Source organism: Homo sapiens, chromosome 11 (genome assembly GCF_000001405.40).
Source record: "Homo sapiens chromosome 11, GRCh38.p14 Primary Assembly".
Classification (NCBI taxonomy): Eukaryota; Metazoa; Chordata; class Mammalia; order Primates; family Hominidae; genus Homo; species Homo sapiens.
Window position 1 is genome coordinate 133,511,128 of NC_000011.10, and position 24,055 is coordinate 133,535,182.

The following is a 24,055-nucleotide window of genomic DNA, read 5'->3' on the forward strand; positions in this document are numbered from 1 at the left end:
TCTGCCATCCCGGTGGCCCTGCCTTCAGCTACAGCCATAATCTTCCACTATCATTTCCTCTGCAATCTCCCTGTTCCAAGCTACCTTCATCTGCTTGGACTGGGGCAGTATCTTCCTAACTGGTCTCTGCCTCTAAGCTTTAGCAACCAGAATGTTCTTTTAAACAAAGCGAGTCCTGCTACTCCTCTGCTAAAAATCTGAATGAGCTCCTCATCTAACTCAGAATAAAAGCCGAACTTCTTACACAGGACCGCGTGGCTAACTGGGTACCCCAATAAGCTCCCTTATCCTTTAAAAACCTCTCTGCCCACATCTACTACTCTCTTCCCACTTGCTTACTCTGCTTGAGCCTCACTTGCCTCTTGACTGTTGCTTGAATAAGCCAGGCAGATTCACTCATGCCCTGAGGTCTTGCACCAGCCAGTCCTTCTGCCTGGAATGCCCTTTCCAAACTCCTTTACCCCTTTCACATCTCTGCCCAAGTGTGGCCTCCTTCAGTGAGGTCTGGCCAGACTGGCCTGTTTGTAATTGCGACTCTCTTCCCCATAATCCCATTCTCCATAGCCTGATGTACTTTTTTTTTTTGCTTTTTTCCATATTTCTTCAGTTGTTCTAACATACTATAAAATTTATCTACATGCTATGTTTGTTGTGTATTATAAGATTTTCTCCACTAGTATGTAAGCTTCCTAAGGGCAGAACTCTTAGTCTGTTTTATTTGCTGTTGCACCCCAAAGTCCTAGAACAGTGCTTGACCCATGCCAGGTAGTTACTCTTCATTTGTTGAATGAATGAGTTAAAGAGCAATGGCCATGTCTGAAAAGATAGGGACAAAAGAATCTCTTTTTCCTACTCTCACAGAGTCACTCAACACACTTTTGACACCAGATGTTGTGGGGTTGGGGGTTCCTCGCACACTAAGCAATTTTCTGATGAACACCAGCTGGGTGTTCCAAGAGCATCAGATCCTGCAGGTTAAGAGCTTGGTTCCATAAGACTACTCCACTTCAGAGGCCATTAGAAAGCTCCAGGTTGTGATCTGTGTTTCTGACCAACCAGCAACAAATCAGGATTTGTCCCAAACCTACTTACCTGTGTTTGATTAGCGTTCTAGATTCCCACACCTACCACCCAGTCTTTGATTGATTTACTAGAGCGGCTCACAAAACTCAGGGAAACACTTTGCTTACATTTTACCCACTTGTTATAAAACACGTTACAAAGGCTACAGATGAACAGCCAGATGGAAGGAATGAATGGAGTAAGGTATGGGGAAGAGGTACAGCCTCGGCACCATCCTCCAGGCATCTCCATGTCTTCAACAATCCAGAAGCTCTCTGAATCCTGTCCTTTGGCTTTTTAATGGAAGCTTTCTTACATAGGCATGACTGATTACATTATTAGCCACTGGTGATTAGCTCAACCTTCAGTCCCTCTCCCCTATTCCCAAATCTCAGGGGAACAACTGGAAGTCCCAACCTTCCAATCACATGTTTGGTTCCCCTGGCAACAAGATCACATCATGAGTCCATCCAGGAGCCTACCAAAGAGTTGCCTCATTGGGACAAAAAGGTGTTCCTATCCTCCAGGATATTCTGAGGTATTTAGGATCTCTGTCAGACTAGCCTATCACTCAGGAAATTAGGAAGGTCTTAGGAGTTCCATGTCAGAAACCAGAGCCAAAGACCAAATATCAGAACAGAAGATTCTCCTAGGATCCCTATCTACAAGGATATTAGCAGCTTTGTCCCAGGAACCAGGGCAGAGACCAATATATATTTCTTATTATATCACAATATCACACCATGTAAACCCATTTTCAAGAAGTCAATGAGCAACTAAATATGCCTTTATCCTGAAATTTGAGCACACTCTACAATTAAAACAAACCTTTCAAGGCATAAAGCTGAATTTCTTCTTATTGGACCTGCTGTCTGGAATTTATAAACCTAGAGGTAGCAATTCTCCCTGGGAGTAAACACAACAGAAGAATATGAAGAGAGATGCACCATGCCTCTGATAATGTGAGAAGCCCCAAACATTTAAAAAAAAAATGGTTTCTCACACCTTTGACTCTATTTATAACATGGACATTGAGAAATGTGTGGGGTTATTAAAAGTTCAGATTTCACCAGCCCCATTCGTAATTTTTCTGACATTTAAATGACACAAACCAAATCTTCAGCACGACAAGAGTGTTACTGCTTAGATCACAGAGCACTGCCACTTTTCTCAACACTGCAATTTGGAGGTTGGCTTGGATTACTCCTTTCTTCCACTGCTTTACCCCCTGTCTCCTGTTTCCCAGCCAATCCCCAAACATCAGTGCATGTGGTTAATGCAATTCTCATCCTTTAAAAACCCAACTCAAATGTCATCTCATCTGGGAAGCCTCCTTCATGAAACCTGGCAGAGCTAGTTTCTTCCTTCCTTGCGCTTCCATAGGATTGTTTATGCAAAAGACTGCAGAGGCAGTACATTGTGTTTTGTTAACGTGTTTACAGAATTGTGTCTCCCTGAGTGAAGCACTCAAGGAGAGTGGCCTTGTCTTAGACATCTCGCCATCCTGAGCCTCTAGTGCCTGGTAGAAAGTGAGTGCATAACTGATACCTGTTGCATAATGACCTTGTAGAATTAGTTGTTGCCTATGGAGCTTTGCAAGGAAGTAGCTTTTATCTAAACTAAATTTGGCATTTATAATGGTTCATGAAAAGATCTTAATTCATGAGCTGCATTACAGAGATTAAGAGTTTAGCATCTAAAATTGTTGTTGTCAGGAACACAGCAGCAAAGAAATCGAGCCAGCAAGGTCAGTTGAATACAGGAAAAAAATCATGATTCAGTATCCCAAAGGGTCAGTCCCTACACACCAAGCCCCTCTAGGGCTGTGGAGAAGTCTGCCACAGAGAATTGGAGAGCAAATTATGCAAGATAAAGAGACACTTCAAGGCTGGTCACGAAACGAAAACAAAGACACCCCAAAACTGTGGCAATGGTTCACATCGCCTGGCATCTGCAAGACCTTGGAGCTACAGCATTGTCAGTGTTTGCAGTAGGGATCATGAGAGGCTTTGATGCAATGAGGAACCAGTACAGGGGATACTGGTCACATAACCTTCACACATGCCTTCTGCAGTGATTGTGTGCAAGGGAGGCGAGTTGGCTGCTCCCTAGTTTTGGAGCTTTGGAGACACTGACCTCTGGAATGTGGGCTTGATTCTTTAGCTCCTAAGTCTCTCCCAAAAGGGACTGAAGAGAGAGGGAAAAACCAAACACTCTTATTTCCTGTTTGCCAGCTCCATGTCAGCTTCCCATGTGTGCTCCCTTCCTCCTCGTCTGGAGTGCTTGGCATCTGCCGTTACTTAAATCATTGCAGGGAGATACAGGGTACTCTGAATGTCCTGCCAACGACCCCTTTAGGTTAGAAGTAACCTAAAGACTAAAGTCAAGAGTCCTTTTTTAAATATTTAGGACAATTCTCACTTTTTTATGGTAGGAGACTCCTTTCTTTTCAAATTGGCTCAGTACTCTTAATTGATCTCAAAACTCTATTGCCATAACTGTACGTAGGTCTGCACTGTTATTTATAACCCACTGATTTTAAATACTGCCTTTTAGTTTAGCTTTATGTTTTTGTCTATAGGAAATTTGTCTGAGCTGTCACTCTCACTCCTGTGTACCCTCAAGATAGTAGACTAAAATATTGAAGTCTACCCTAAGAAAGTTGCTGGAACCATTTGCCTGGTAAAAATCACATGCTCATTGAGAGAGTCAGTCCAGCTAAATTAATAATGCAGCTATGGTGCAAGCCTTCTCATATCTAATTTATTCCAGATATACCACTCTAGAACAACCCTACTATTATACCCAATAGTGTTACTATCAAATATGTTCATCTTATTAGCCATCCCTAAAAAGTATTCATTAAAGAGCATCTGGAAAAGAAGAAAAATTTGATGACTTGATTCACAGGTTCTGGATAAACTGAATTTCCAGGAAAACAGATAAGCTGAGAACCAGAAGCTCCTCACAGACTTGAACCAGAGCAGGTCAGAGGTGCAGTCCTGTAATACAAGAAGAGAAGGCCATCTTCCACCAGCTGGGAGGAAGGCAACTCTCTTCAGCTAGAGGGGTTGCTAGGATACTGCACTGACCATTTAAAATCACAGAGCAGTGGTTCTCAACCAGAAATGATTTTGCTCCCCAGGGGGCATTTGGCTGTGTCTAGAGACATCTTGGGCTGTCACAGCTCAAAAGGTGCCACTGGCATCTGGTGGCTGGAGGCCAGGGATGTTGCTAAACATCATACAATGCACAGGAAATTCACATAACAAAGAACTATTGTGCCTAAAACGTCAAGAGTGCCGGGGTTGAAAAGCCATGCCATAGGGATAATAGAAAAATCAAGTTCGAGAAGCTAATACAAAACCATAACAATCAAGAACAGGAACAGTACTGAAGGGTGGACCAGCTTTATGAGCCAAACAGTGACTACGCCCCAGATAACCAACCAGGAATATGAGAAATACACAGAAGATGGATTGTAATGGGCTTGGGGTGCATCAAGAGGGAAAGGAAGTACCTTTACCACCAGTCCAGAAAAGCCCGAAACTCAAGTTAGAAATTTGGGGAAACATGTCAAAAAATGTTTAATTTCCTCAAGGGTCAAGGCAGGGTCTCCAAGGGCTGGGGCTCCTGGATTCTGCCAAGAAGAGGAAAAAAAAAAAAAAAGTTTCTACTGATCTTAAAGATTTCCCAGTCCTCACAGCGCCATGAGTGAGTCCTAGTTCAACTTCGCAGAGTGAGCAGTTGAGCAAATAACAGACCAGAAACTGATAAATGGAGTCTGGCGCTGGCTCCCATGCCTGCTCAACACAACGCCAGCCTCATCCTCCAACAACCAGAAGTAAGGACAGGTCTACGTGTGCAGGGCGCTTATCGGGAGAAACAACTGGGAGAGAAGCTGGGCAGGAGCCATGAGATCTGGGAGAGCTTGGGGACTGCGACCCCCGCAGAGGGAGAGCAAGGCTGGCAGCTGGTGGGTGGAGGCAGACAGCACAGTGCAGCTCTGGGGAAGGCTCTGAGGTACCTGGAGAGGCTTCGTGTCAGTCTCCATCAGAGGAGACGCATCTCCCACCAGCAGACCTGACTTGATATCTCCACTGCGTTCTGTTATGGCCAGATAGTGGCTGAGAGAACGCGACCTTGGAGCCGTCACAGCCAGGGGCTTCGGAGAGCCACATCCGAGGCTTCTAGTCAGTCACACTTCCCATAGCCAAAGATCTGGGGGGACACACTCACACCACCGCCGCCGGGGCTGGGGCTGGACTCCAGTCACTTCAGGACAAAAACTATGCTAAGGAGAGGCATCCACTCCCAGTTTTTCCGAGTTTTGCTCTTTTCTGTGTATCTCCATGAATGAGTTTTAATAATACCTCTTTTGAAAAATTCCAACTCTACCTTAGCTGAATTTCTCCTCAGGGGCAAGGGTGCTTTCCAGCCTAAACCAGGAAAGCTAAGGCCTCAGTGTCCCCAGGGTAGATGGTCCCTGGTGCAGAGCCGGTGCAGAGCCGGGACAGAGCGGGAGAAGGCGGAGAACCCTGGAGATGGAGAGTTACGAGCCACGGGGATGGATGGTCCCTGTCCTTGGCCTTTTCTTCTCGCAAAGACTGTTTGCATTGATTTCCCTTCAGTGGTCTTTTTTATTTTTTATATAAACAACAGAATATTCTGGATGCAGGTCTGTATTCACTGATGTGTTACTCATTTTTACCACAAAGGTAGCATTGTTGAAGAACACTACAGCTGCCACAAGATGGGGTCTTCCGTAGCAACGGCATTGTACCCACATCCAGAGTGAGCTGTGGCCAAGGACACATCCCCACGCGAAGTCCCAGAGGGAGGCAGTCAGAGCCAAGCCATTAGACGCATCTTGCCAAGAATGATTTGACATTTCTGTCTGGACTCCATTCCCAGTCACGTGGCACGACTCTCTGCAATGGTCTCCAAAGAGGTGCTTGTCCTCAAGGGTCCTCTGAGTGATACACGGATGTGAAAGGAAGGAATATCAGAATTCCTACTTTTATCTATTTTTATCTTACTCTTTTTATCATTATATATAAGAAAAAATATGTGTAGTGATTATATATTTCTATACATGTGTAGTAGTAACCTATATACATCATTTATACATGCATAAATATATATTGCATGTGCATGCCTAAAATGGTTTTTGTAAAAACCACAGGAGCTCATAAACAAGAATTTGGGAGCCCACTGATAGTACAGCGGGTCTTAATTTTTTAATAGTGGAAAGTGATCGTGTACTGCTAGTGTAATAAAAGCGGAATTCCTCTGGTTGATAAAGGGCAACAGGGAGTCAGGGAGTGGGGGCAACTCCCCCATACTTACCGCTAGGGCGGTGGGGGTTTGGACTGTACAGACAGAAACCCAGGCATCAGGACAAGGAGCTGTGGGAAGCTATCTGAGAGGCATCATCTCAGGGGACAGAAAACTAATTGGAGCCAGGCTGACTCCTGGGCAAAGCCATCGGTGCCAGGGTCCAAGCAGCAGTGAGCAGCGCCAGGCCACAGAGCTGAATGGAGGGACACATCTCAGCAAGAACAAGGTGTTTCTGAAGAAGGGAGGTGAGAACTGGAGGAGTTTTCTGAGCCAGAGTGAGTGAATGAGTAACCACAGCCGCTCTTTCAGGGGGTACTCGTGACCACTGTGTGTGCAGAGTGGGAACAGTCAAGGCTGTGCACCTTGCTGAGCACCAGGCACAGAATGGGCAAGGAGGATGACTGGGGTCCTAAATTTCTCCATTTCTGACACCCAGGAAGCAGTCTCTTTCTCTAGCACTGCCAGTTCCGAGGAGGAGTCCCATGGCACTTCTGCCTCTCATATTACAGAGAGACAGCCTCCAAAAGACCCCTCATAAGCAAAAAAAGGTTCACGAGAGGAGTGTGGTGTGCATATGTATGTGTGGTGTGTGTGGAGAAGAGTGTGCATGTGTCACGTGTATGGGTGGTGTGTGTGGATATAGGCAAGGTATGTATGTGTGTAATGTGTATGGAAGCGTGTATAAGTGTGTGGGGGGGTGTGTTTGTGCTCATATGGGTGGGTGGTGTGCAGGCATGGTGTGTGGATATAAGCAAAGTATGTATGTGTGTAATGTGTATGGAAGCGTGTATAAGTGTGTGTGTGTGGGTGTGTTTGTGCTCATATGGGTGGGTGGTGTGCAGGCATGGTGTGTGTAAATAAGTGTGTGTGTGCATAGGGATGTGCATGGATGGGTTTGTGTGTAAGTGTGGGCAGGTATGGGTATTTGTGTGTATAAGTGTGTGCATGGATGTTTGTGTATAAGTGTGTGCGGGTGTGGGTGTGTATGCAAGTGTGTGTGAGTGTGTGCATATAAATTTGCATGCACAAGTGTGTGTGTGCCTATGGCTGGGCAGTGTGCAGGTGCTGGTGTGTGTGGGGCTGTGGCGTGGGCAGTGGCAGGTGCTGGTGTGTGTGGGGCTGTGGCGTGGGCAGTGGCAGGTGCTGGTGTGTGTGGGGCTGTGGCGTGGGCAGTGGCAGGTGCTGGTGTGTGTGGGGCTGTGGCGTGGACAGTGGCAGGTCCTGGTGTGTTGGGGGCTGGGCTGTGAACAGTGGCAGGTCCTGGTGTGTTGGGGGCTGGGCTGTGAACAGTGGCAGGTTGGAAGATCTGTGGCAGCCACTGTCCATGCAGAGATGCCCTGTGCCCGCCCCCTAGGGTTCTGCCATGTCTGATTGCTGCAACTTGCCCTCTGGTATGTCAGGCCAGGAGCAGCCCACAGAGGTGCTTGCCCTGTGGGTGACAGTCCCTGAAAGCCTCTCTCCTCCTCTTCAACACGGGAGGTCCTCGGCCCTGCACAGGAACATCCTGAGGGCTCAGGATTCCTTCTCCCTGGTGCACTGTGAGCTCCCGTTGCGGGGTGGCTGACTCATCTTCTGCCTCCGTCTCTGTCCCAGCAGAACCTTGTGCTGGGTGGTCTGGGCTTCACCTTTGCCCTTCCTTGTCTCTGGCTTCCAGATATTCCTAGTCCCACTTTCTTCCTAACTTTCTGCCTAGTTCTAACCTTGGCTTTCTGGCTTCCCTCTGCCACCTACCACCAAATGTTCAATGCAATACAAAAGAGGAGACTTCAGGAAATTCTGAAAGCATAATTAACATATTTTTATGCATTAATTTATTTGTGAAAAATAAAGTCCAGCCATAGACCTAAATGTGAGATCTGTTGATGGTGAAGCAAGTCCTACAGCATCTGGGAGAGACACAACAGAAGGACGAGGGAAACTTTACTGAAAAATCTGTCACAGTCACTCTGTTCCCAGATGTCACCACCAAAATATAGCTAAAAAATAATCATGAACAGTTGAAAATAAAGGAGAATCAAGATTATAAGATGCTTTTACCAGGGGAAAAAAAGCTATAATGCATCTTCCTTGATTTCTCCCATCTCCCCTATCTTCCTGAACTCTCTTGTGTTTCTGCTCTTCAGCCACAGCATAAAATATGACCTTGATAACAAACAAACCTCTTGCCCTCCCAGGCACACATGCTGCAATGGTGCTTCTGGAATACTGACTGAGTAAAAGTGTCAATGGCTTCTCCCGCACCTCTAATCTACAGGCACGTGTGCCTGCCAGACAAACCTGACTTCAACCAGCCAAGCTTAGCTGTGTCTAATTGCCTTCTAAAGTAGCATCCACTGTTTCTATGAAATTTGACCACATCAACATAGCTTCTGCTGCATGTGAGACAGACCTGGGGCTGGGTGCTGAGCAGCTCACAACCAAAGCTAGACGGTGCCACCTTACGTCTCTGAGAGTCTGCCCATACAAAGTGAGGCTCAGAGACCTTTATGAATATTAAGACATAATGAAGAATGAATTTTCTAGTCCCAAAGGAGGGTTAGAGCAGCTCTCCACCCCACCCCAGGCAAGACAAAGACTCAATGTGTGGGTAAGTTACAAAGAGCTCCCCTGTCCTCCAGAGACCCAGTTTATGCTGAAGTCCTGCGGACTTTTGCTGCCCAGAAGACAGCCTGGTAACACAGACAGAAGGACTCTTCCCAAGTGCAGTGTGCGTGGGAGGTTCCTGGTCTCAAGGGCCATTTTCAGAACTACAGGCCACCTCACTATCCCTGCTCAAGCTGGGTCTTTTTCTGAGGCTCCCAAGAAGCTGAGCCTGCTGGATTAGGGCAGAGTACAAGATGGGTATATGACTGATTCCAGAAAGGCAGCCCCTTTCTCCCACGCAAGCAGAAAAACAATGGTGCTAAATCAGTGGTGCTCATTCTGGACTTAGCCCAGCATGGGTGCAAGGCTTTGTGGGGACACGAGATGATGTTGTAGTTTCCCCTTGGGCCTGGGCAAAGACGAATCTAACCTCTAGGGATGCATTCATCAGCCCATGTGTAGAGAAATCAGTCAGGCCCCTTTCTAAAACATGTTCAGTAGTGTCAAAGAGGACCCCTCTTTCCACAAAAGAATATTCTGCAGCCAAACACCATTCCCGGAAGTTCTACTTTTAGTAGTGACTGCAACTGTAAGAGGCAGGCATTATCAGCCAGGCCTGGTCTTCACGGAGCCAGAGAGCACTTTTAGCTTCACTTGAGGCTCCGTGTTGGAGCTCTTTCTGAACCCGTTTCAGGTCTCTCATCACAACCCAAATGGCAAAGTCCACGTTCTCTGGCAGGGCTCAGCTGGGGAAAGATAAGCCACTTCCCAGTGTTCTCCATGGGAAAAAAGAGGCAAACCAAACATTGACTCATGCCTGGGAAGTGAATGCAGGAGTTCCCTGGATAGGCCTCCTGCTCCAAAACAAGAGTCACAGACTCTTTGGCATGCACTCCACTGCTAGTTATCATCACAAGCCGTCCTAGCCAGAGAGAGAGGAAGTCACAGAAAATGGAGAGAGAAATGCCCAGACAAGGGTCGCCTTCCGAAGCAAGGCAAGGAGACCTGGCAACCTGGAACTGCACAGCACTTCGGAAGGGGTGTGTCCATCGGGCTCCTCTCCTGACCTTTGGGTCCACTTGCGAATTAGGCAAAACAGTTCTTTTGGATTTTACAGAGAGAATTACAGGTATTCAATACATTAAACTGCTTGCCCAAGATCACTTGGCTCATAAGCTGTGAGGCAAAGTCAGAGGCAAAGTCAGGGGCCACATCCTGGGTCAGGAAGTCAGTGCTTCCTTCCACACGGTGAAGGCAGGATAGCTAATTGTTTGCTTTAAAAATAAGTAATTTCAGTGAAAGAAGAAAAGAAACAGTCATCTGGGCCATAAGAAAGAAGTGACCCAATCTTCATGGACATTGTGGGCTAAACTGATGGCAGTTATAAGGTAGTATCCATTGACTCTCAAGAATTCGCACCAAACAAAAGGAGGGTGGGGCCCACCAGAAAAACATGCAAAATCCTGATAGTGGTTTTCATGATTCCTTCCCATCTGGGCTTCACCCAAAGAGGCATCCATCCCAGTGCCAAGTAAGACTGGGCACTCTCTCCTCCATGGGATAAAGCCAGGGGACTCCCAAGGAAACTGCAGCTTCTCTTGGAGCCTGTAAGCTGATGGGCTATTTCCATCTGCCACATTCTCTCTTCCAACATCCTCCTCTCTTTGAGGGGTATGGGAAATCCCTTGGCACTGGGATGTTCAGGAGAACCAGGTTAGCTTATTCGGAGAAGCCAAAGGCTTCTGTAGGCCTTTCTTCCTAGAATGGAAATTCTCATAGGGGCTTGGCCTCCCCACTGTCCTGTTTCGGCCTGCTACCATCTGACCATATCTGGCATGGTTTTGAGTCTGAACTCTGGCTTCCTGTTCTACATTTGTCTACAGCTCTTTTGGACCTATTGTTTTGATTGCACCCATGTCTATGTTGTCAACTGTGAAGGCAGTGTGGTGGTATTAGGAGTGGGGAGGTAAGAAGACCTAGTGCATTTGGCTCTTTCCCTTAGTAGCACACAAAATAGTCATGCCGTACATGTATGTGATTTGTACACTCTAAGCCACCATTTAACATGAATCATTAATGTAGAGACTGTGGGATTCTCAGTATAGATTTTCTCTTGGCTTAGTGCAGAGCCAAGCCCAAACAGATATTTAAAAATAGATGTTTTGATAGTGTAGTGATGATAAAATCAGGTACCTGTCATGGTGCGTAGACCAAACAAGTCAAGTTGACACGTATCTGGCATTTGGTATTGTACTACCCTGAACATATTCTTCTGCATATCAAGGAGCAAAGTATTTCTGGAAGTCTCCCAGATCATTACAAAGGTCATTCGAAGTATGCAAATGCCACTGAAGGAGACAGGGCTTCTGTTTGTTTGTTTTTGACCTAGATTCTGATCTTTGGGTAAGAGGGAGCTTGGAGCTACCTTGTTCCACAATGTTCTTTGTACACTAAGGTGAGAGAGCTTCAAGGGAACACAGTAATGGTCAAGGTTATAGGTCCGTTTTCCAGCAGCGTAACAGATTGGGAGGCAAAGTTCAGTCCAGCCCTTCACTATGATTTGATATGACACGCGACAGGTGACGAGAAGAGCTGTATTCAAGAGGGGGCTCAGTCACTATCTGACTATGTGACTTCAGGTAAGACACTCAGATGCCCTTTGCCCGAGTGCTTCATCTATAAAATGAAAGCACTCAACTAGACAATTTCCAAGGTCCCTTTTGATTCCAAGGACCTTTCACTTTTTAAATAAATTACTGCAATTTAAAAAATGTTTGTAGGGAGCCAGCCATAGATGCCACTCTCTGCTCAGAGGGGTCTAGGCGGTGGGCCATGTGGAGGTCATACATGCTTTGCATCGTGATAATATTTGTGAACTAGTTGCATCTTGGTGGCCACAAGCTACTATGGCGTCCAATTAGCGCTTTTCTAAAATGCCTGATTTCTTCCAGGAGGAAACAACCACAGACAGAATCCAGAAGACAAAACACAACTAGGGCTTTTTGTAATATTTTTGAAGGGTAGAGAAACCGAGTTATTCAATTTTAAGCCCTACATTAGACCCAGAGAGGGCACCAGTTAAGAGATTGAGATTATTAGACCGCCAAGAAGTATGGGATTTCTAAAAACAACCTATTCCTTGTTCCAGGACAAGATCACACCTAAACTGAAAGAGATAGCATACAAGCAGGAACCTGAGGACGGACGCTCTTCTCAGCACTCTCCCAGGAGTGTTGGTGCTGACAGTGGGGAGACTTAGATTTCAGTTCTGCAGATTCTGACTCCCACCTACAACTTTCCTTTAAAAGTTCCCAAGTGCATTCGTGTCTCCATTCCAACCAATATTTCCTAAGTTCCAAGGCACAGCCATCTCCTGCCTGAACTACTACAGTAGTCTTCCGACTAGTCTATCCCTTCCTGGTTTGTTCTCTCCCAATCTATTCTGCCAACTGCAACAAGAACAAGAATAAAAAATGTAAATCATGAATCACATCAACAGAGTTCCATTATTTCTAGGATAAAGACCAAAATGATTCACATGACCTTCAAGGGCTGTCTTCATCTTCTGACCCCTTACCAGGCTGCCAGCCTCATCTTGGCCCATGCTTTCTTCCTCTACACTCCAGTCAGGTGGGAGAATGTGCTCTGATTCTTCATGCTATGGGACTTTGCCCGTCCTGTTCATTCTGCCTCTTCCTTTGGTCTTTGCTCTTGGGTGTGGATAATTTCTACTCCTCCTCCTTCAAATCTCTGTTCAATTGTCACTTTCATAACCAAGGCTTCACCAGCCTCCCTGGCAAGATCAAGCTCTCCTGACAGACAATCACAGCACCACACACCTCCCCTTCCATAGTTTCATGTCGGTCATGATTTCACAACTGTCTGGGTGTTTGTTTGACGCATGTCTGTCTCTCCCTCTGGACTGTAAGCTTCATGAGAGCAGGAACCATAACAATTTCTGTTCAGGCATACATTCCCAATGCCTAGCATAGTATTTGTCACATAGTAATCACTCAATAAATCACATGTTGAATAAATAAATGTGCTTGGTACTGTAGAGTATTCAGAGATGAATAAGTCAGGATGTCCGCCATTCAGAATCCCACAGCCATACAACAGCAAGACCGTGAAATAGGCCAGACTGCGATAAGTGAGTAGGTGCAAGAAGTGATACAGCACCCTTTTTTATATCCTGTGATTTGCTAAGCTGCTTTTTACCTTTTCCATATGAACATCAACCCGTTTAAGCATTGATTGACCATTCATGACCTTCTGCTATGCAATTGCATTTTTGTATCTCTAACCCAACATTGCACTTCCTATGAACAACAGAATTCTCCTTTTGATTGGTACAGTTTTTGCTTGTTAGCACCATGGGCCTGACTCTAAATTTCAAATAACTGGGGCCATTTCAGCAGACACCCTGATTAAACGTGCTGAGTAATTTTAGTTTGTATTAAACCAATAGCCCACATTAGGGCCCACATCTGTGTTTACGGAACGACTCACACTCTCAGGCGTGTCTGTCGCAGTGTGCGATGTGAGATCCAAAAGTGTGCTGCTCCAGCTCTGTGCTGCTGCATGTGTGTTTGGTCGGTAGCTCAGAGCTGGTGTTTATTGACAAGCAAGAACACTGGAATGAGTAATCATTATAAGCATTCCCTGCACATTCCCGTCTCTCAGAAGCAAGGCACATCCCCAAGCTTCTTGCCCTCATTCTGCAGGGGACAAGCTGCTGGGCAGGCCAAACTGGGGGCCTCAATGCCTTTGAGGACTCAGTGGGATGGAACAGAATGATTGCCTAAAGTAAGTGAGCACTCAGTGTTTATTTATTCATTCATTCATTCTCTCATTCATTTGTTCAACAAATACTGTTTGAGCACTTGCTCTCTCCCACCCGTGCTAGGCACTGAGAACATATTGGAGAACAAAACAGGTGTGGTCTCTGCCTGTATAAACAATGGTCTAGGGAGGAAAGAGAGACATAAAACCAAGAATTAGTTTGAAATACATGGACTCACAGTTTTAGAAAAGAGAAGTCTGGTTCCGAGGACTTGCACAATAAACAGGGAAGCCTCGCCTACTTTGAAGCATAAAGAATGAGCTCCTGGGAAAGCAGCATTTAAGCTGAGTTCTGAAGGATGGAAAGGATGTGTAGCCAGAAAAAATTATAAGAGGATCAGAATTTTCCAAGCTCAGGTAACCTGACAGGTGAAGCCCTTGAGGAAGGAGGGAACAGGCCTTGTCTACGGAACTGTGATTGTCCAGAGTGACTAAAGTCCAGAGCTGGAAAGGCAGAGAGCTGGAGATGAAGCTAGATGAATGCAGGGCCAGATCATGGCCTTGTGGGTCATTTGAAGTGTTTCGAAGTCTATTCTAAAGTCAACCGGAAGTCTACATAGGGTTTTAGGCAACGCGAAGATCAGATCACAATAGGGTGACATCTACACTGCCTACCTCACAGTCTCTTAGTGAGGAACAAATGAGACCAAAGATAAGTTTTTCCAGGTGATCCATAAGGAATGAGACCACTGTGTTTCTAAAACCGTTAGTAACTCCCAAGTGTGGTAAAACACCATTTGTAAATTCCCCAGGAATAAAGGTTCCAGAATGACCGCTCAGGCCACTTGAGAGACTCTGCCCCTTGAAGTGCCAGATAGCCTGGTTTTCTCCACGTTGGAGTTCACTGTGCAATCTGATTGTCACTTATCGTTTCCCATGCTAAGTGCAAGGAGCCATTCCAATCAACGGCCTGTGTCCCACTGCATCAATTCATCTTGGCCTTTCCGGGGGTCTCTCAGCACAGCATCTCCGCTCATTAACGAGAATGCGCCTGCATCATAATGATAATCCTTTGCACTTACCCAGCACATTGCCCAGGGGGTTCTCAAAGCATTTTGTAAACTTTTAATTAAGTTAGGCTAGTGACTGCAGGATGGTCCCCAGCCTCTCCGAACCAAGAGGTCTGGGGTGGGGGTGGCGACAGGACGTGATGGGAGACAAGCAAAAGCCCTGCCTCTAGCACCTACTTACTGGCTCTGGGGCGCAGAGGCGAGTGGGTGGATGTGCAGGGAATCTCTGCGTTGCTAGGAAGAAGCACTCACACATGTATGGCCGTGTCTGGCACAGGCAGCCTGTGGGCCTCCTGCCATGTGTGCCCACAGGGAGAGCACCAAGGCTGGGGGCTAGAGTTGGGAGTTCTGGAAAGGCAGATATAGAAGGCAAGAGGGAAGACTTGCTTTCCTTAAAGAGCTGTGAATGTGATTTTGAGAGTAGCTAAACTCTGGCTTGGAAATGCATGTGTGCCTTGCGTGTATATGTGTGCAGGAAGGGGCATGCATCTATGGTTGGCAAGGGGGTGGTGAAGAAGAGAGGAGGGAATGTATGTTCACATGCTTAGAGGAAGGCAGTAGCAAGCACATTCATCTTCAAGCTTCTCTCTGGTTTTGGATTTCTTTTGGCTCCCTTCTCAGGGCTACCTTTAATCCTTCCCTGAGCCATACAAATACCACCATCTTGGGGTATCAAGTGAGTGGTGTATAAATCCAGCAAGTGGAACTACATCCATGCCCTACTGTGTTAGAACCATCCCCACCCCTCAGGGAAAATGCAGAGGCAACCAAGGCTTTGCAGATAAGTAGCAAGTTGTAAGTCTGGGTCTCCCACCAACAGCATAAAAGGCAAGAGGGACAAATGTCCTCAGGACCTAGCCCTGCACTGAGGACTGGGATCAGAAGGAGTGGGAGAGCAGAGCCGCCCCAAGGTGAAGCCACCTGCCTGGCCCTCTCTGTCTGGAAAGTGCCAGTCGGTATCAGAGGTGCTAACATCCACTGCTCCTGACAGCCTGGCTTGTCAGCAGCCACAGACCATCTGGGGGCTGACACTTGAGCTCACTGACAGGAATCACAGTTTGCTTCCATATCTCTCTGTCTCCAGCCCCAGGCAGCTGCAGGCAGATGGCAACAGTCCATCTGCAAACAGGGCTGCAGGCTGATGGGGTCCCTGTCCAGCGGACCAGCATCAGAAAAGCCAGTGCCCATAGGCCAAAGGCTATTAGATGGGGCTCCTGGAGTTCCAGCTGTCCAAGGCTGACATACAAGTCCATGTATCTAGCACCCCACCAAATATACCACAAAGCAACGTTTTGAGAGACCAAAGGTGCCATGTCTGTTGCCTTAGTTTTCTACAGCAGAAAAACTAAGACCTAAAAGCTCAAAGTCAGAATGCATATTTTATTGGGGGTCAAAAAGAAGAAAAAGCTTAACAATTTCCTGTTTTACTCGATTAATGATTTTTGAGGCAGGAGAATATCTTAATACATTGTTTAATCAGAACGTATATAAAGTCTTGTTCAATAAATGAAGGAGTAGATTGTCTTTTACTAATTTTCATCACTGTGACAAAGACATACATATATGGTCAGTATGATTCTACCTTATCTTCTCCCATTTTTAACAATATGGAATGTCCTCTCCCCTTCTCCAACATGCGAGTTGCCTTCTCTCTTTACCCTATTCCTAGAGGACCAGGATGAGTTTTTTTATAATAAAAATTTAGAAGTGTTTATTTGTTATCATCTAACCTAGGTGTTCAGCTACTCTGTGCAGTTGGAAACAAGGTTCATACATGGCTGGAACCCATTCTACAGATTGGTAAACTGAGACTTAGAGAATGCCTTGAACCAACCAAATAAGCCTCAAAGAGCCACTAATCAAAGAGATCACTCTCAGCTTTCAGCATACTTAGAGGTTTGGGTGGAGTCCCACTTAAAGGGAAGTGCACTCAGCCCCAGGCAGCCCTGACACAGATTTGAGGCTGTAACCACCAGAGATAGTTCCCAGTAGCTGGCATGGGAGACCCAGGCCCAGAGCTGCTAGACAACAAATGCAGGCAAGTGCCAGCTGTCTAAAGAATCTCCTTCTGTAATTTTCTAGGTTACAGAGATGTGGCCAAGGGTGCTAAGAATTCGAGAAAGCACAAAGGCAGACAGGACCGAGGGAACATGGGAGAACCTCAAGCCCGTCGGGATCTCTGATTAATCTCAGGTTGAGTAGTGCTGCCCAGTTCCAGGCTACTGAAAAAGCCATCTTCATGAGGCAGCTGATGCTATCTCCTTCTCAGCACCTGCTATTGCCACTGGGCCCATGCTGAATGCAGATGACGCAGTCTAACCTTATTAACATGTCGATCATTTTTAAGGGATTGAGGGCCACATGATGGCGTGAATCCATGATGGGCTAAAGGACGATGGGAACTTGCTCATGACCAGATGCTCTGTCCTTGTTCCTATCTCTTTCTTAGTGAGTCTGGCGCGTGGATTCCCCCACTAGACCCCTTGTGCACATCAGGCACTCTTAGCAGGTTCGCCGGCTCTGGGCTGGTGAGAGGCTAAGGAGCAGGAAAGGAATTCATCAAAACTTGGCTGTAGAGCCTGCCCCCAGGCCTTACCCCAAAGCCAAACATCCCAGCCCAGAAACTCAAGATTTGGGGACTTCCCTGAAGGAAGAAGCAGGAAGGTGTGTGCTAGAGAAGGAAGAATCCTAAACCTCGGGGGATTTTCTATCCAAGCCCAGGGTTTTCTGACCCTAAACGGGCAAAGCCTGTTTAAGGTGCAAGAGATGAAGTTGTACCCAGAACCTGGACTCACAGATCAGCGCATGAAGACACAGCTCAATCCAGGTTGGGTAAATGGGGACCCCTCCCAGCTAACTCCCCTGCTTAGAGTCACAAGACGAAGGAGATACAAACAGGATGGGCCAAGAAGAAGGGGACAAACAGGAAGTCATGGTCTGAATTTGAGCAAAGAAGTCTTCCAAGTTAGCAATCCTTGCATCATGGTGCTGGCCCCTGGAAGGACTTGGGCAGCACTGTGCCTCAGGAACTGAGCCTTGGCTGCTGGCAATGACAACATCTTCTTGCCCTTACTCCACCCTGCCCCATGGCCACAGAGCCATTTCTCAAAGCTGGAGGAGAAAAGACAAGAAGAAGACAGGTTTTGACTCAAATACTCAAATACTCAAATACTGTAGGCCATGGTCACAGGTTTTAAGTGACAGACAGAGTGGTTTGCAGGTAATCAGAAGGACCTGGGATGCTAGTTCAAAATGCTTCCGTCTGAGACGAGGACAGGGACTCCACATTTTAACCTGCCTCTCTCCTCCTAGGTGATTCTGATGCACATATCTAGCAGTATTCGCTTCCTGCTTCCTACAGAGCCCCCAGACCCAAGGTCAAGAAGGCCACCAGCCCAGACTATCTCTCTCCTCCTACTAGAACAACAAAATTACCCCAACCAGGGGTGTCCAGAGCCTCGGACTGTGCCTCTAGCATGACAAGTCAGTTGGCCACGGGCCCTCTGCCCTGTCTTGGGTGTGGGCTCATCTCAGTCTCCACGTGGTGACTGTCTTTTCCATCCCAGAAATTCTGCCTAGAAAAGCTATTTGTGATATCAGTGGAAGGTACCAGGCGACAACAGCATTAACCTTAAAATTACTCTGGGATGGATACATGTTTTACCAAGAAATAGAAGCTGCAGAATAAAATGGCATTGAGGCCTAACCAGGTCAAGGTTCCATTATTACATCAGCCTTTGGTTTTTAGACGCAGTGAAAGTAAGTGGCTAACGAGCTGGTATTAATCCCTGTGGGAGAAAAAGCATCATCATTTGAAACAAAGAAAAAAAAGTCTAAAGCTATAACAGGAAGTAAAAGAAAAGAGAAAGGAGAAGTCGCAAGTAAGCCATGGCAGCTCATCAGAACTTCCGGATCCAGCCAGGTTTCCCACAGGAACCCCTCAAGATGCGAAGCGTTCTTTCACCGACACCTTCTAAGGCTAACTTTTTCTCCTCCCCGTTCTTGTTCTTACCGGGCTCCTGACACAATTAGCATAAGAGTAGCCCTCAAAGCAGGTAACAGACTCTTCAGAAAGAGGGCATGTTGCAGTGATGTCCACACCCTGCTCTCCCCCAGAAGATGGGGGCAGGGGGGTGGGGGGGATAGCTTGTCATTGTCGTTCATCCACCATGCTCAGGACGGTCAGGCAGGGGTGCAGGTTCATCCTCCTTTCCCTCAGCCGGCTTTAGTTTCGGGTACTTCTCCTGCAAGCAAGTTCTGCCTGCTCCCCACCAGTGCAGTGCCACGGGACCCCTAGAAGGAGGTCTCACCCTGGCTCCTGGCTCCTTCAGGGCGCGCTGCAATGCAGCTTCTGCAGACTGGGGCTCACCCCCCGCCTTGCTTTCTAAAGTGTAATGTTATGATTTCTGCCATAAGGGGCGCATCCATACAGCCAGGATTCCCTTGGGATGGGGGTCCTGATCTTTGCTCCAGCACAGTGAGAGGAGGGGAAGCGGGTATGAGGAGGCCCCCCGGAGCTGCCATCCAGCTGGGGACTTGCCTACGCAGGAAAGTTTGTCTTCTCCTGCCACGGACCCAGTGCACCCACCTAGCTCCCTCTACCAGGCTCAGGCAGGTACTGAGTGTTCCGTTGGCTCTGCCTTCCCTGCTGAGCACAGCCCCCAGGCTGGACCCCCTAGGATGCTGCTGGAATCTGGAATAACAACAACAGCAACCCCCACTCTGAACTTCTTGGTCAGCCTAAAACAAACAGCTGGGAACATGGTTATGCAGAGCCCATCCCTGCTTTAAAAAGTGCCATCTTCACAAGGTGTTACAAAACATTACAGGCTGGATTACTTGTTTTAGTTGATCCTCTCTTCTTTCTCCCCAGTAAACTTCCATTTTTCTGATTTCACTTTGGCATCTTAGGACTACTCAGGGAATTATATTATTAAAAACAACACTGAAAATATTCCCACAAAACCCTACCAAGTAATACTGAATATAGAAACATAAAACTGTATGTTTTACCTATAAAAAGGCAGGTAAGGTTTTAAAATCTTAGCATTCCTGTCTGTGTATATATGTATGAAAATTTAGGTTTAAGCTAATGTTTAACACAATGCATTTATCTCAATTTGGGGGAAAAAAAGAGATCCTGACTGTGCGACGGTTTGGTATGAAAACCGACACTTTTGCTGCTGCCTAAAACCTTGGCAAGCATAACCTAGCCCCTTCGGCATTGTTTGAAAGATGCCTGCAGGCATTCAGTTGTCTGCTTGCAAAGGACTCCTGTGCAATTATCAAATCTATTAAGATGCCTTCAATTTTGCAACGCTTCTGCTAAGCTCATTTTGGTAGGATTGCAGCATCTTACCTGTGTCACTGCAGATTTGTTTTCCCCAAACAAATAACTGCTGTGAGAGGTGGGATCACATTTAAATCATTAGACAAGGTGGGGAAGGGGCTGGGGAGAATCAGGCAAATCCAAATTTCCAACCTTCCCTCAGCAGGGACATCCCAAATTCTGCCAAGGGAAATTCATATTCCTGACGTAAGGAACAGGAAGGAGATACTGAGAGGATTCCGAATTTCAAGGGCATAATCTGCCCATTTGGTGGAAGGATAAAGAAAGGACGGCAGGCAGTAGAGGGCCTGTGTTACAACAAGAAATGCAGGAGCAGATGAGTGAGCTGAGAAGGAGGGATGGGGCAGGGAAGGAGCTCCAGGGGGAGAGGGTAGGGGAGAGCAGTTCCGAAGGAAGGGAGGGAGGAGGAGAGTGGGGAGAGGTGGAGAGGGAGAGAGAGAGAGAGAGAGAGAGAGAGAAAAGAAACAGAGAGAGAGACAGGGAGGCGCAGAGATCTGGACTGATTCAGAAACAGAGAGAGACCACCACGACTGAGAGAGATAAGAGGGTGCCCCTTCCACCCTGCAGGTCCCAACATAGGCAGCAAGAAGGATTTATGGCTGGGAGTTCAAACCCCTCTTCTCCTACCCCCAGGACCACAGCTGGTTAATGCCAGTTGGTGACTTTCACTGAAACAGCAGTGCCTCACAGCATGGTGCAGATCTCGAACCCAGCTCACTGGATCCCCCGGAACAGAGAGCAAATCCCGTGCTGAAAGCATCTGCGCGCGTGTGAGCGAGTGAGTGTGTGTGTGCGTGCACACAGCAAGCCTACCTCTTTCACTCACATGCATCTCACACTCCCTGTCCTCACCCCTTCCTCCTTGCCTCTCCATCTCCCCACTGCCTCTCCTGCTCTCACGTCGTACAATCACCCCAGGGAGAGAAAACACCCTTCCCCTGTACGGTACCTGGGATGAAGAGCAGGGCAGTTGTCGCCGAGAAGACGACCCAGTAGGCAGGATGGTACATCTCGACGCTGCGGTGCTCTCAGCTGCCGGGCTTGCTACTGCTTCTGCTGCTGCTACCGCTGCTGCCTTCCTCTGTGCTGAATTCTGAGCAGGTTTAAATCCAATGTTTGCAAAGGGAGGGAGAGAGCAGAAGAGAGAGAGAGCGCGCGAGAGATGGGAGCAGGCAGGCAGCGTCTCTGATTTCTTTTCTTGCACACAACTGGTAAGAATCATCAGCACCAATCTGCACAGGGCTCAGAGCAGTCCTCCAAGGCACGCATTGGCTCCACTCTCCTGAGCGACGGAAGGAGACTTTCCTGCTTGGAAGGCTTGACTCCAAGGGGAGTCGAAGCCGGCCCCTCACTCACCCCCTCACCGGAGCACAGCCCTGCGTGTTGCTATCTGTGTGAGTATGTTGATGTGGGGCTCACGTGGACACGTGAACACACACGAGCTCCTTGGTGGGCAGTGGAGAGGGCCTGGCACTGCCAGCAGGGCTCAGGGCACACCAAGAAAGAAAGGTTGCTTGGCAGAAATGTGACTAATGCCCATGCCAGTTCCTTATCATTCTTCCTTCTTCCTAGTCTCCAGGCAGGGATGGAGCAGGAACTGCTACCCACGGGGAGAGCTCAGACATTTAAATCTGCACCCTACCCCTCCATTCGGCCATTAACAGCATTTGGAAGCAGTTGGTTTTCCCAGTAAGGAGATGGGCATGTTACGGTTTTAAACCAATGATGCAGGGAGAATTGGCCAGTTCCCCACAATCAGAGCATTCTGAAACTCTACCAAGGCAAGATGCTATAGAAGCTCAAACAATTGCTATGATTACAGCATAGGCAGGGACAGATTCAGATTAGATCTCAAGGAGGCGGAAACTTGCTGAAGTCATCGGAAATCTTCACAAGGAGAAGGCCACAGAAGGATACCTGTGGCTTCCTTCTGTTTTTTTTTTTTCTGCTTCTCCTTTTCAGGGTCCAGTCTGTCCCTTCCTCTGGAATGGCAGTTTACACCGGCAGTTTACACAGGATGGCAGTATCTCTGGGTGTAAGAAACCTCAGAACTTTCCCCTGCTCTAAAACGGCCTGCTTGCCCTCCCTAACACGTGCTTGTAAGCAGCACACCTTGCTGGCTGAGTGGTGCTGCCACTGAACTATACCCTGAACTTGGAGGGTCTGTGATCAAAATAGCACCAAGTATTAGAGAAGGGACTCAGCAGACGATTTCTGTCCCAGGTGCTCTCCGAAGACCTCAAGTGGCTTGGATTCCTTCCCAGCTCCACGTGTCCACACCTTGAGGTCTGTGAGGGACACTCCACAGGAGGTCTTTCTCCCTTCCTCCTTTGCTGCAATTCCCAAAGTTTTCCCAAGTGACCTACTATGGGCAGGTATTCACCTCTATCACTTTAGTTAATCCTCACCAGCGTCCTTCCTTGTAGGCATTATGACCCCTGAATTTTCAACTGAGGTTGACAGCGATTCAGTGACTTGCCACACAGCTAATGAGTTAAGATAAAAACCCAGGTCTGTCCTGCAAAATCCACACAGTTTTTATAAAGCAGCCAATTGCCAACAAGTTCTTTGGGCCTGACTGAGCGCCTCTCTTTCTATAAAATAAATCATGTTTACTTTTAAAGAAGTAAAACAATTGATTACTCCCCTCCTTATGAACAAGTCAGAAAACTTCAGCAGTAAAAGAGAAAACAGATGATGATTGTATCATCCGCTGACACTTATGAAGTACCTACTTAACATAGTCATTTTTTCAGGGATGAGAATATGAAGAATATGATTTGTTCTCGTCTATAAAGGGCATACAATATAAGTCAGGAGATCAGCCAAAAGTTAGCATTGTGACTTTGCGAATGTACATAAAAATAATAGGACACGTACACACTGTTAGAGTCAAATTTTGTAGACCTCATCACTGCAAACATGTCGTTCACAAGCAAATTGATATGTGAATCCTTCAGGCAATGCTGGAATCCTGCAGAAATCCAGAATTATTACCAGTGGCTGAATACGCTGGAGAATACAACTGGCTTGAAATTGTGGGAGAGACCAGATAGGCCACAGAAATGAGATAGACATCTCATGGAGGGGAAGAGAGCAGACACAGGTAGAAACCCTGCAGGGGGGAGTTAGGGGAGGAGATGGGAGACCAAGAGAGAAAGACCTTGAGTCCTAGACCAGTGATTTAGAAATTTCCCCCTGCTGGGAAAAACAGTTAATTTCTTTTTGAGCAGGGGAGCGCTGTGAATGAGAGGGAGTTAATTTATGGAAATTAATCTGGGTGAAGTGTACAGGAGGGATTGTGGCAAGCACACTTGTTAGTAGGCATGGCCCAAGTTTGATAGATCCTGGAACTGGTGGTAGCAGTAGAAGAGGAAAAGAAGGGGGTTGTATGTGGAACGCAGAAGAGTTAGGAGGACGTAGTGACTGATGGCATTCTACGGATAATAGACATCATGTATTCACCCTCTGCAGGCTAGATTTTTTTTAAAAATATTATCACATTCAATTCCTAGCCGTTACTCTATGAAGGTGTAATTATGCCTTTTTGAGAGATGAAGAAACCGAGACTTAGAAAGGTTAGGTAATTTATCCGAGGTCACACAGCTAGTTAGTGACAGCCAAAATTTAATCCTGGGTTTTTCTGTTTCCAAATAAGCGACTCCCTAGAAGAAATTATCATATTGGGCACCATCATTTTATTGAATATTCACATGCCAATCACTCAGGTATTGCCCTTATAAATCCCTATTTATTTATCACCCACACAGACTAGAGGGAGAGACTGGAGCTCAAAGAGCTTTAATAACATCCCCAACATTGCAGAGCTGCCCGGGTGTGGAGCCCCGGTTCAAGGCCTGCCTTCACC

The 24,055-nt window shown here is 46.9% G+C and overlaps 1 protein-coding gene across 3 annotated transcripts in view; it reads right to left on the reverse strand.

The window, feature by feature from the left end:
* The window catches only part of OPCML (opioid binding protein/cell adhesion molecule like), a 1,117,521-nt gene extending 1,096,147 nt beyond the window's left edge, over positions 1–21,374 (reverse strand). For all 3 annotated transcript variants that reach the window (NM_001319104.4, XM_006718846.4, NM_001012393.5), the window contains exon 1: positions 21,137–21,374. Coding sequence is in view for 2 of the 3 variants with exons in the window: in XM_006718846.4 (XP_006718909.1) it covers positions 21,137–21,197 (61 nt within the window). In the remaining variant the exon portion in view is untranslated. The remainder of the gene's footprint in view (positions 1–21,136) is intronic.